The 13,478-nt window shown below is 47.2% G+C and overlaps 1 protein-coding gene across 3 annotated transcripts in view; it reads left to right on the top strand.

Annotated features, from left to right (window-relative positions):
* The window catches only part of PLXNA2 (plexin A2), a 222,143-nt gene that overhangs the window by 88,831 nt on the left and 119,834 nt on the right, over positions 1–13,478 (top strand). For all 3 annotated transcript variants that reach the window (NM_025179.4, XM_005273164.4, XM_005273165.5), the window contains exon 4: positions 13,091–13,225. In NM_025179.4, coding sequence (NP_079455.3) covers positions 13,091–13,225 — 135 coding nt within the window. The remainder of the gene's footprint in view (positions 1–13,090; positions 13,226–13,478) is intronic.

The following is a 13,478-nucleotide window of genomic DNA, read 5'->3' as shown; positions in this document are numbered from 1 at the left end:
AAGTGCTGTTCAGTTAATGACTCCAGTCCCTGGAGAGGTGGAGCACTCTTTTAAGAGAAAAAAATCCTAGAAGAGTGGGGGTGTGGGAGGGGCAGAATGAGGGATGCTTTAGTACTTTACACAAAAGCCAGGCTATAGCTCCTTTCAGCACTTTTTAAGGAGCATATTAGCAGTGGGTAGGTTTGCCCCGAGCTGCCTTCTCTCTGTGGGTGAAGGACTGGAGCCTCCCCCTTGCTTTTCTCTATTTCACAAAGTGAAAAGGGTCTGAGACAGAAGGCTGCCATCCCTTCGGCCCAGTGACTGCGGCCCTCTGTGTCCCCAGCACCGGTCCTGTGGAGACCCTAGTCAAACGACTCCTCCTTGCTCTGAGAGAGGCTGCCTTCAAAAGCAGGCTGGAACGGCCACTATGCAAGGGGTTCGCGCTCCATGCACCTGCTAACCCTCTGCTGCCTCCCGCTCCTCCTCCCCGCAGTCCTGCTCCCTTGGAAAGGACAGAGGAGGAGGTACTAATTTCCCCCATGTCCCCCTGAAGAATTTCCTCCCAGCCCAATTTTCCTCCTCAGTCTGGTCCCACCCAAGTCTATGAATCAGAGATAAATCAATCCAAAATCCCTCTTTCATGCTTTCCTTTCCAGTTTCCCAAATGCTTTCACATTCCTTATCTCATTTGTTCCCGCCGCTGCCTTGTCATGCTGGCATGTTGTGTTACCAGTTTTGTAGATGAGGAAAGTGAGAATTAACTCCCTTGGCTGAGTGCCCCTGCGTGGCCTCCACCCCAGTGAGCTAGACATCAGCCTTCGCTGGACAATCAATGTCTATTGGAAGGGAAGATGGAAATGCAGAGCTTGGAAGATCTAGAAAGGAAATCAAAAAAAATCTATGAAGAGACTGCCCAAGGCGAGACTTGTACAATCTCTCACTTCCATCGTCTCTTGCTGTGATCTGACTTGGAGAGGGGAGAATTTTTTTAAAGTTATTTTTGTTTTGAGTTGGCCCTAGTGTAGCTCCCTTGGTCTTAGTCCTTGGTCATCCATGCACATCCTCTGCAGCCACTGCCACTTTTTGGGTGCGATGATGTGGCTGTCCAGGCCCAACAGCACATGAATCCTAGGTAGTGCCAACTTCTCAGGGGCCAGGAGGACTTGGGGAGTCCTAAGGAGAAGAATAGAGGCTGCACTTTGCCTACCGTTGAGCCCACTGGATATTCTGAGAATGCTCAGAGAAAAGGCAGGACAAAGTTCCTTCCTCACAGGGCCAAGCCCTGCTTCTCTTCCTCCCACTCTGCGGTGAGATCCGGGCACCTGCTGTACTGTACCCAGCACCAGCAGAGTCTTCACGCTGGCACTCTGCCCAGCAGCTGTGGGGCGTTAGCACAAAAAGGGGGTGGGCATTGAGGACAAGCAGGTGTCCAGCCAAAGAGAACAAGGTGACCGGGGAGGGTCTTGGAGCAGTGATGGCAGGGAGCAAAGAGAGTCCATGGAAGAACAAGCAGATCGAGACAATCCTTACTCACCACCCCACCCCCACCCCACCTTGATTAGAATGATCTGGCCCCAGAAGAATAGCAATGAATTAATTAGGGGCCTGTTTTCATGAAGCAGCTCATTATTAAAGCCCCTCTCCTGGGAGGGGAGATGGGAAAAGGTGTGAAGATGACAGCTATTCAAACAGAATCTTTTAAAAGAGGTAGACCCTCCCCCAGCTGTCTGTTCTGCCCTTGGGCTCTGCCAAGCAGTCAGGCAGACCAGAGCACACAGGGTACCCCTGGGCTGGCTGCCGGGGACTGCAAGGGATGGAGGCTTTCTGGCTTGACTTCCCTTCCCTCCCTTCTCCTCTTACCCTGTTCCTCAGACCCCAACTCTGACCTCATCTTCGTAACCTCAATTCTTGCTTTCCACCTGTCTGAGCCAGCAGGCTTTCCGCTTAGTGGTCCTGGAGTCCTTTTCATAGCAGTACCTTGAGTGTTTATACTACTTTCCTCCTAAGAGCTCTCACCAGCCCACTGGGGAGCCAGAAAAGATCATTTCGACAGAAACAAATGTGGATAGGTGTTTACACGCCAGGTTCCAGAAGATTCCGGGTGGTTGGGATGGCATGGAACAAGATTCCCTCTTTCTCTACTCATTTTTCTCTAGTGATGGAAAAACAGAGGCCTAGAGAAATGAAGACCCAAGAGAGTTCAGATCCTGGCTCTTTTGCCTACCAGCTTTGTGACCTTGGGGAAGTTACCTCACCCTACTATGCCTCCGTTTCCTCATCTCAGCCTTAGGGATAATAGTAGCGCCTACCCCATTAGGTTGTTGTGAGGATTAAATGAGAAAATGTGCATAAAGCCTTTAGCATGACATCAAACAATAATAGGAGTTCAGTCAATGTGAGCCATGAGTAAAGTTCTACTCCTGCCCAGTCTCAGCAACAGGGATTCCTTCATGCCATCAGCCTGTGTTACTGAGAGCCTACTGTGTGCAGGGCAGTACCAAGTGTAGTAAGGCATACGAAGCTGTACAAAGCATGGTTTCTTCTCCAGGAGCCTGAATATCTTAGGAAAGATGACTGCATATGTTTACAAGTAACTGTGCCAAGAGACATTCTAGGTGCTATGGGAGTTCCAAGGAAAGATTGGTGCAGGCTTCGTGGAGTAGGTAGCATTTGGATAAGGCCTTGAAGGATGGTTAGGATCTAGGAGGTAGAATAAATTGTCAAGCAAAGGCGTGAAGACGAAAAAGCTGGGGATGCAATTGGAAAATGGTGAGAAGGCCATGTTAGCTAGACTCCTGAATGACAAACTGAGGAGTATGAACTCTTCTAAATTATTAAAGGGGACAATTGAAGGTGGTGTGTGTGTGTGTGTGTGTGTGTGTGTGTGTGTGCGTGTGTGTGTGTGTATGTGTATGCATGAATACATGCCATGATTTACTTTTTTCATTATTCCAAAAGTAGTGTATGTTCATCATAAAAAAATTAGGAGACTGAGTTAAGCAAGAGAAAGAAAATTACCAACACCTGAAATTTAAGGATTTTGCATACAGAAAAGGCAGGATCGAACAAGTGTTTTAAGAAGATTAATCTGGCAGTGTTTGGTAGAATAGATTAGAACAAGAATATGCTGGAGGCAGGGAGATTTCTCAGGTTATTGCAGTAGCCCAGATAAGAGGCAATAAAGACTCAGCCCCAGCGCACTAGCAATGGGAAGAGAGATTCGATGGCATGGTTGTAGGCTCCATTTCTCTCGGTTACCATGGCTTTTCTGCACCATGGTGGGCACATGCCACGTGTGTGTGTGTTTTTAATGACTTCTTTTAAAATCTCTGGGAGTCTCCTGCATTTAGGCACAAGTCCAGTGTCAGATAATGGTGCTTAGCGCTCTCGACCTCCCTTCCCATCCCTACAGCTGGAAATGCCATCCTCAGTGTTAATGAAAGCAAAGATTACTGTTCCAGATTATAAAATGCAGGGCAATCTCAGGCCATAGAAAAGAAAAGAATGAATTAATTAAAGAGAGTAATAACCCTCTTAAACACCCCATCCTTTGCTCCTTTCTCCAGACTGCAGGTGGCCTTCTTTGTCACAGTGGAGGAGACAGCTATATGATCTATTTTGTTCCCCAGGACTTATCTCCAGAGGCACCCAGTGCTTTTTAAATGTAGTTTTTAGTCCTAATGTAGGCATTGTCCTCCTGTTTAACTTAGAGAAAGCGTAGGCTCTGGAGGGAGGCAGAATAAAAGAGTTCAGGCTTTGGAATCAGACAGATTCAGCTTCGAGTTTCACTCTGCCACTTTCTAGCTGTGTGATCCTGCAATAGACACTTAACATGTCTTTTTCTATAAAATGAGAATGCCTACCTCAGAGTTTTGAAGAGTATTCATGTTTATATCCCTGAATTTTTGCACACGGGTTGACATAGAATAGATGCTCAATAAATGTGTTGAACTAAACTTATAAAGAGAGAGAAGCTATTCGAAAGCACCATGTATATCCAGTCCCAGGAAGTGCTAGTTTCCTTGTCCTGCCCCCTTTTGAGGAGTGAGACAGGCATTTCCAAGGTAGTTAACCTGTCGATATGCCTAATTCCATCAGTTCTCACCACACCCTATTCCAGAGCTTGGTGAGAAAGGCTGCCCTGCACTCCCCACAGACCTGAAAGAGTGGCTCTAAATCATTCCAGTTCAAAAAGCCTAAGAGGTTCAATTCTATCCTGAAACAACCAGGGCATCTCCAGGAAAGGAACCTGTGTGCAGTGCCTTGAATGGAGATTCCGAGTGCCCACACTACTAGAACTTGGGGTAAACAAAGGTTCAGATTTGGCAGAAGTTCCTCGTTATTCTGTATTAATTCCTCCTACCACCCCTCCAGCTACACACCCCCAACTCTGTGTGCTCCATGTGAATTATTGCTTTGCTTCTGCATGATTTGATTTCATCTGAGGCTGCTTAATGCTTCGGCTGTCTCCACTGTGTTTATCTTATTGTTTCCCAGAACAATCAAATGCTTCCTCCGCCCCTGGCAGCTTCGTCTTGTTCCCTCAGCCTCCTGACCTGCCCAAGCCTAAAGCTGGAGCAGTGTTTAAAGGTGGGGTTGGACTAAGGCCTGAGCCCCGTGTTCCTGAATCACCCAGTGTAATTCACCTCTCATAAGCTCTTGTCCTGGCCCTTGGAGTTCAAAATTCTCCAAGAGTAGAACCCAGAGGTCTGGATTCTTTTTGCTTCTAGCTCTTTGTGTCATTCTCTCATGAGTAGCAAAGGGAGAGGCCCCAGAGATGGGGTGCTTGGTGCCTTTGTGAGTGTAGTTTGTCATTAACTGTAGGAAGGCATGGAGCAGGGGCCACTCCTCTTAGTTCTACGAGCAGCATAGACCAGTGATGGCTTGGCCATCCTCATCCACCCTTGTCTGATGAGGGAGCAGAGACGCCACAATTTAGAAACAGAAAACTGGTCTCCGGAGATCCTCACCAGCCAATCTCCCCACCCTAACCCTTGAACGCTGACCTTACTCATAGTAAATGCTCAATAAATAGTCACTACAGCTACTATCCTTACTAGCCAGGCTATTAATTCTCATACTGTCCCAAGATGCAAAAGTCCAGAGAACAAGTGAGTCCTCTGGGGACTCCTCCCTACATTCCAGGAGAAAGATCTCCATGGCCTGGCCCCCTGAAATCCAGGACTCTCTAGCCCCATGCACCCCGCTGTTAGCTCCACCCACCCCTAGTTGAATATCTAGGGCAGACTCTTAACATGGACAGAAATAGAAATAATTGTACATGGAAATGTCAATCTCCAGTGTTAACCGAAGATTGACCAACAACTCATTGGGGACCAGTGCTGGAAGCAGTGTGTGTGTGCATGTGCGTGTGTGTGTAAGGGTGGGAGCAGCAGAAATTCTCAAATCTTAGAACATCTTAACAACCTCCTTCCCCTTCATGGAAAAGAGAGACCCTTATCCCTGTTTCCCTTCTTCCTCTCCTCTGCTAGCTCAGTGCAAACCACGGGCCAAGTTTTCCAGGCTCCTGCGTCCCCGTCCAATTAGCCAAGCATTTAGGGCCAGGCTCCTAGCTGTCCTCCAGGGAGCCTCAGCCTGCTGAGTTTTGACTCTGCAAGCTTAGTTAATGTTTTCACAGCTCAGAGGGCGGGGCCAGCAATAGGCACCCTGGACTGCCACCGCTGCTGTTGCTGCTGTTGAATGCGTATGTGAGAGAGTGTGTGTGTATGTGTATGTGAGTGTGTGAATGTATGTACAGGATAGAGGGAGGAAGAGTCTCAGAGACAGAATTTACCAAAGACTTAAATCTATAAATAATTCGGGTCATGAAGCTCTACAAAAATAATCTTCAGCTTGAATCTTCTCTCGCAGCACCAAATGCTCAACTCCAGATACACTCTCATTAACTCACTCCCAGGGTCAGCCTCAGCAGCACCAGGCCCTCTCCACCTTTCACCTCCTTAAAGGTCTGAACACACACACACACACAATATACACACACCACACTTATACACACACCACACTTATACACACATACTGCATACACACACCACATACAGTGCCTATACACCATACTCATACAACAGACTTACACACACCATACATACATACACCACATACAACACATACCATACTCATACACACTCACAACACATATACACCACATTCATACACACAACAGACTCATACACACATACCACATATACACACACCACATCCATGTACATACAACACATACACACCACACTCATGCACACAACAGATTTACACACACCACACACATACATATCACACATCCAACACACATCATATACATACAACAGACTCATACACACACAACACATACACATCATACACATACACACAACAGACTCATACACACACCACATATGTACACACACCACACATGCCACACACATACACATTCACATGCCACATATATGTTAATAGACCACAAAAGCATAGGGTCCTTAGGTGAACAGAGGTAGAAGCGAGTGATAAAGGCCTCTTCTGAAGTGAATTTGAGGACGCCAGATGCTGAGACCTGCTGAGAGTGATGTTGAGCGCTCAATAACTCTGTGTCAAAAGTCTCATCCTCTCCAAATGCTTAGGTCTGAGAGACCAAGTTTCTAAGAAATCTGAGCTCAGGCATAACAAGAACAGCTTTATATTTATATTACACTGTACGTTTTCCAAAGAACCCACATTTCCACTCCTGCATTTTGGCTTAGGCCTCACCTCCTCCAGGAAGTACCCCCTCAGGGCCTCCTTCAGGCCAGGTGAGATGCTGCTCCGCCCCCCGTGCTGGTCTCCCTGGGACCCCCATGCAAACCTCTTCTCACAAGGGGTGACCCCTGTGTTCATGAAGACCAGACAAATTGTCCATTTCCCCATCACCGGGCTTCCTGAGGGGATCCTTATCCTTTATCACGTATCTGCAGCTCCTAACGCAGGCCTAGCTCATGGTAGGCACATAATAAATCAATATTGGACAGTACTGACATTCATAGCTAATAACTCATTTTACATTCACAATATCTTTTTTGAGCTAAGGACCATTATGTCCCACCATTATGGGACAGCTACAGAAACTATTACATAAACAAGTGAAATGACTTGCCTGAAGTCACACAGCCAATGAAAGAAAACCTTGGGATTAAATCCCAGCCCTGCAGACATGATCCAGTGCTTCCTTCTGTGTGGTGATGCCTTTCAAACCAATCTCTTTGCTACTAAGAAACCCAAGAAGAAGATTCCCAATTCTGCTCTTCCACAGCTCTTGCAGAAAACCTATATATACTATTACTGCTACTGCTACTACTACTAATAATAATGTGATATTAGAGTACCAAAGGGCTCCATAAATTAGGGCTAACTAGAGAAGAAATCGAAGCACAAGAAAAGGAGTTTAGAGGGGGCTGCAGGTAAGCGAGTTAATTGGATATGCTGATTGGAATTGGATATTCAAGAAAAGAAGCTGACATTAATTTCTGTCCAGATATAGCTGTGATTTAAAGGAAAGGTACTAATGGGGTTACTATTTCATTCTCATTTCAACTGGAGGACTGGACGCTAAATCTCTGCTGGATTTTACCTCACACGCTCCTGCCCCAAAGCCAGCCCTGATAAACTGAGTTTTATCCCCCAGGTAAGGCCCCCAAAAATTAGGTTCTGAGTTTACTGTTGTCCCCAGGAAATAGGAGATTGTCCCACTTTGAACTTGGGATCCTAAAGGGGGAAGAGTGGATGAGGGGGAAATTTGGACTTTTAGATGACCCATCTACTCTGCTCAGCAGCAAGGGCAGCTATGTTTGCCCATTATTAGCCCCCTCTTCAGAGAATTCAGGCTCTAGCTGGGAATCTCAGTTACGCCACTCTCCAGCTGTGTGATCTTGAGAGAGTTGCCTAACTCTCCTGTGCCTCTGAGTTTTTATCTATAAAATGGGATTTAAAATAGTATTTACCTCAGGAATGCTTGGAAGTGTTAAATGAGTTCATTTTTGTTAAGTACTGTGACAGCACGTAGCACTGTGGTAGCTATTATTAAATTCTTTAGGTGAACAGAACCTTTCAGAATCCAAGTCTATCCTACTGCCTTCAGGCAGGGCCACATTTAACCATGAAAAAAAGGGGTTATCCTGGGTTTAAAACCCTCCTGAGAAGGAGATTACAGTCTCCTATAGTCACCCATTCTATAGTAAAGTCTTTGGTTCTTACTAGAGCTAGACTAAATGTCCTCATGTCAGAGTTTAGGCTGGGCATAGTAGCTCACACCTGTAATCCTAGCACTTCGTGGGGCTGAGGTGGGAGGATCACTGGAGCTCAAGAGTTTGAGACCAGCCTGGGCAACATAATGAGACCCTGTCTCTAAAAAAAAAATTAAAAAGTAGCCAGTTGTGGTGGTGCACACCTGTAGTCCCAGCTACTTGGGTGGCTGAGTAGGAGGATCGCTTGATCTTGGGAGCTCAAGGCTGCAGTGAGCTGTGATTGCGCCACTGCACTTGGCCTGGGTGGCACAGAGTGAGACCCTGTCTTAAAATAAATAAGTAGTTTAGGCACATTTTGTCTTTTGCTGGTCTCAGTAAAGACTGTCACTCTCTTCTGTTCCTTGTGCTATCTGGCTGCTGAGCCTTGTCCAAGCAAAATAGCCCCAGTAGCTTCTGCATTTCCACCGAGGTCAAGCCTTCCCAGAAGAAGAAGATCCCAAATAGAAAAACACACTCCAGTGACTCATTCCACCTGTCCCTGTCACCTCCCTCCTTTGCCCCATCTCCAGTATCCTCCGCTGCCTGGTTGGATTTTGGGACCTGTGCATCTTGGTGTTGCACCGCATGCAAGGGCTGGTTCAGTTTATTGCTGTCACTTTGTGGGACACCATAGAATAAACTCAATTGGTTGGCTATTAAAATCCCACTCTTGTTTTGGGACTCCTTGACACTCCCCTCACCACTGGCCATCCTGTTTCTGGCAAAGACAGAGGACAGCTTTGAAACCCAAAATTTCCTATCCAAGACAGAGACATGAGAAAAATCACAGACTTAAACTACATTAGCAGCCTTCTTCCTAGTCACTTCCAAGGCATTCTCCCCCTCAGCCATGTGCTTTCCTCTGGACCCCACCAGCTGGGGCTGGTTTGAACCCCAGTTCCACCATGGATTGGAAGTTTTGAATGGAAGAGTTTAGACAAGATTAGCTCCAGTAATTTTTATAAGTCTATGATTCTCCTGTGATAGGCACCAAGCAGATTGCTTCTTCCAGTTATTCAGAGAGGAACACTAAGGCTCAGAGAGGTAACTCACCTAAAAGTGTGCCATTAGGCAGAAATCAAGCCCCAGGGAAGAACAGAGTCAGAATGGAAACCCAGGAGGCCTGAGGCCCAGACTTAAACCCTGCACTCATTGGTGTGTTGCCTTAAGGGAGCAAAGGGGATCAAGGGAGGGGAAAGACCTCTGCTGCCCAGGGGATCTGCTGCCTTCTCTCTGCCAGCCCCTGCCCCACCTTTTTCTCCTTGACCTGGCCTCCTGGCCCCTACTCTCCATCTTCTCTGACCCCCTATACGTATCTTGAAAGGTGACTCCATCTTGGGGCAGATAGCATGGATCGGGGGTGAGTGGGGGGAGTCACAGACTTCTTGGCCAATACCACATTTCTCTCCGGGATTTAGACTGAATGAAATAGGATAGCTTAGTTCGGGTTCAGTACCAACAACATTTTCTGTTCTGGTTTGGTTTTACCTCTGACATTTGAGACTTATGTAGGTTTGATTCTGGCTTCAACTGGCTTATTAAAAGATTGGGGTTGCAGACAGGGAAAAAGAAAAACCTTCAGATTAGGTCTCTGATTCAGTAAAATATTAATGGTTGGGATTGGTCCTGACCGAATGCAGCAGACAATGTGATGATAAGTTGTCTTTGGTTCAACTCCAGCTCTAATCTTGCCACGGGTACCATCTGGTCCCAGGGACCACAGAGGAAGGGCCCTCACCATGGCATTCATTCTCTCTTCTGACTTGGTGTGCAGGCCTTGCTGAATCCACGCAAGTGCCCAGGCTCTGGGAGAGGGTAGAGGCCAACATGTAGGAAAAGGCAGATGAAGAATATTAAAGTGCCATTAGCATGAAAACAGCGGACTATTCCAGCCAGCAGAGGGTTAACTGGCCTTCTGGGGCAGGAGATCCCAGACCAGGCTTGAGGGAGGGGCCTGGCTCTGCAGCTCCTGGGACCCAGCCCTGCAGCTGCTGGGACGCAGCCAGCACCTTGAGGAGGCTTAAATCTCCCTGGAGAGGAGTAGCTGTCACAGGGAAGGTGGGAGAAGCACTGGGACACTTTCCCTTCAGAGGAGGGGCACAGTTCAGACTCAGGCAAGAAGCAGGGCCTGAAATCCCCATTTTATGGAGACAGAAAACTGAGACCAGGCCAACCAGAAGTCATGGCAATCACATCTGCCCTCTACCTCTTGCAATAGCCCAAGAACTTTTGTGACTAAAAGCTATGATATTTCTGTAAGAATCTTATGGAAATTTGGGTCTGTCTATCTAAGGGAGAATGCTGCTTTGAATGTCAAGGAGAACCATTTTAACTGTGGGGCATTTTCCCACACAGAGACTCTTATTCTTCCTTCTGCTTGAATCTCATCATCAGAATTGCTCCAGGTTACAGGCTGGTGGTCTCAGCCGTGTAACACCATTGCTGACTCTTAGAATCCCCTTGACCCTGTGAAAATGAAACAAATGGGCTTCTAACAACATTTCTGGAAGGAGGGGCTTTACTGATAGATGACAAGGCAACAGCCTTGAACAGCAGGAAGCCCATTCACTAGGGAGAAAGAGGGCAAGAGCGGAGCATAGGGGAAAGTCCCACAAGGGGAGTGATGAGGCACAGGAATGGGTGAGAAGAGTTTATTTGGTTCCATTGAGGTTACCTCCTTAAGTTCAGGCCCAGAAGCCCCCAAGTCGCCCAGCAAAGCAGGTGAGGAGGAGAACATGGTGTCCTTGCCTCTAGACCCTGACCTACCATTTTCATCCGTGGGGTATAGCACAAGGGCCTCAGGCAAGAATCTGCTGTTTCTACCACCGGGGACCCCCGGGCCAGAGCTTCCCACCCCACGATGGACTCATGGTCTGTTTCCCATGTACATCGAGTCCATCCCAACCCAACAGGTACAGACCAAGCCCTGGTTCAAGCTCCTCAAGGATGCAGATTCTCAGGACAGTAGAGAAATAGGAATGGAAGCTCTTCTCCCACTCCCCTAGCTCTGCAATCAATAGTGCTGTTGACCTTCCCCACTCGGCCAATAAGAACTGAAAACACATCCATCCATCCATCCATGCTAGTGTACTTGTTGTGGCATCAGGCATTGAACTTGGCACTTGGGATGAATAAGTCATGGTGCCTTGGCCTGAGGAGCTCTCAGTGTGGTGTAGGGAGAAACAGGCAGAGGGAGAAGATGATGAAGGGCCCAAGAGAGAATCCAAAGGGTGTAAGGGAGAAGAAGCCTTAATCTTAAAATCTTCCAGGGAAAATGTCTTTTGACCTCACTTTGATTCAGCCCTAAGGAGTCTAGGATATGCTGTCAGTTGGTGCACAGTTCACGCTCTTTCAACAAGCATTTCACAAGCATTCCCTTTTATCCGTTGCCGGCTATGTTCCCAGTCGCATGCTAGTCCTCAGAGGGTTATAAGATAAATAGAAAAGATATCCCTGCCTTCAAAATGTTGACAGGACTTACGCACATCTGAAGCAATTAGAGAACAATTCGAGTAGGTAGTCAATACATGTTAGCTAGTATATATACAATGAACAAATCAATTGATTATCCTAGGACAAAATGTCTGGCAAAAAAAAAAGGCATCAAAGTGGGAGCAATTAATTAGCCATTAGAGAGGATGGGGAAGGCTTCATGGAGGAGGTGGGGCTTGAGCTAGAGATGGGCAGAGGACAGTGAAAACAGGCTGGGGTCATGAATATTGGTCAGGAGTCAGCTACTAGAAAACTAGAAAACTAACAACTAGAAAAACTGGGGATGGGGCACATTCAGACCAAGGGCTCCTTGCCACCAACTTTTTGTATGACCTTAGGGACCTCTTTTCTTTGAGGTCAGCATTGAACATAAGGGCCTAGATAGTACTTTTCAAACCCTTATAGTAACAGCATCAGCATCAGCTGGGGAATTTGTTAGAAATGTACATTCTCAGCCCTCATGCCCACTGAATCAGAAATTCTGGAGGTGGGCCTCGCAGTGCATTCACCAAGCCCTCCAGGTGATTCTGAGGACACACTAGTGTGAGAACTGCAGGACTACCTCGCTGCTCCTCGACCCTGGCTACTCATTAAATTCACCCGGGGAGCTTTTAAGCTGAAGAAGATGCCTGGGCCCCACCCACAGAGATTGTGATTAATGGATGTAGCCCTGGCATTCATATTTTTTAAAGCTCCCCAGATGATTCTAATGTGCAGCCAGGGCTGAGAAGCACTGGACTAGATGACATCTCAGTCCTTTCTGACTTATTTTCCTAGGATGGGCTTGGAGAGGCTAAGCCAGGATTCCTGGCTCCCCACATCTCACAGGGTGGATTTGTGGACAGTCAGGGCATATGTTTGGGGGCTGAAAGACCCTCCTGGGATCCAAAAATCTTTAATCTCTTAATGAGCAGCTTTTTGATGATTTATATAAATTGTTCACCATTCCTTCATACTTGTCTGAGGCTAAGATACTGTGAACAGATGTTGACTTTCCCACCCCAGCCACCATGAAGGAGTGTGCATAAGCACACACTCACTTACACACACATACAATACACAGTGCTATAAATAGATGTACATGCACACAAGGATAACTGCATAGGGATATTCAAAATCATTCCCAAGGGCGTATATGCACACACAAATAAATCCACTGTCAGAAATCCCAGGCCCAGAACACTCAGACTGCTTGGGAAAGGATTCCTTTTGGTGGAAATTGGGCTGTTTAAAAGAAGTGGCACTTCAGTCTATGGAGTAGTGACTGGGGGTTAGCAATGGTCTTCTGTAAGCTACCTGCTCTGGGCAGAGGCAGGTAGCCCACAGGGGAATACTGAGGGCAGATGCTGAGGACACCCTTGTTTCTCATACAGATTCGGGCCGACGGTCCCCCCCATGGTGGGGTCCAGTACGAGATGGTCTCTGTGCTCAAGGACGGAAGCCCCATCCTCCGGGACATGGCCTTCTCCATTGATCAGCGCTACCTGTACGTCATGTCTGAGAGACAGGTAAGTGCTAACATCCATCTCTGCTTTCCAAACTCCAAGAAACTGCTGATAATCTGTCACCTTTGTTCAGAAACTGTTCAGTCCAAGAAGAGAGACCTCTGGGCTTGCAGCACAGGGGTCTTGAGAGAGGCAGAGTGCCTGTAGGCTTTTGCAGGGAGCTAGAGAGAAGCAGCCGGGGGCCAGCCACTTCCCGGAGGCTTCACTCTAGGCCACAGCCCCTGTCTCAGTAAGTGATGAACAGCCCTGCAAGAAC

This window comes from Homo sapiens, chromosome 1, assembly GCF_000001405.40.
Source record: "Homo sapiens chromosome 1, GRCh38.p14 Primary Assembly".
Lineage (NCBI taxonomy): Eukaryota > Metazoa > Chordata > Mammalia > Primates > Hominidae > Homo > Homo sapiens.
This window is presented reverse-complemented; position numbering and strand designations above follow the sequence as displayed.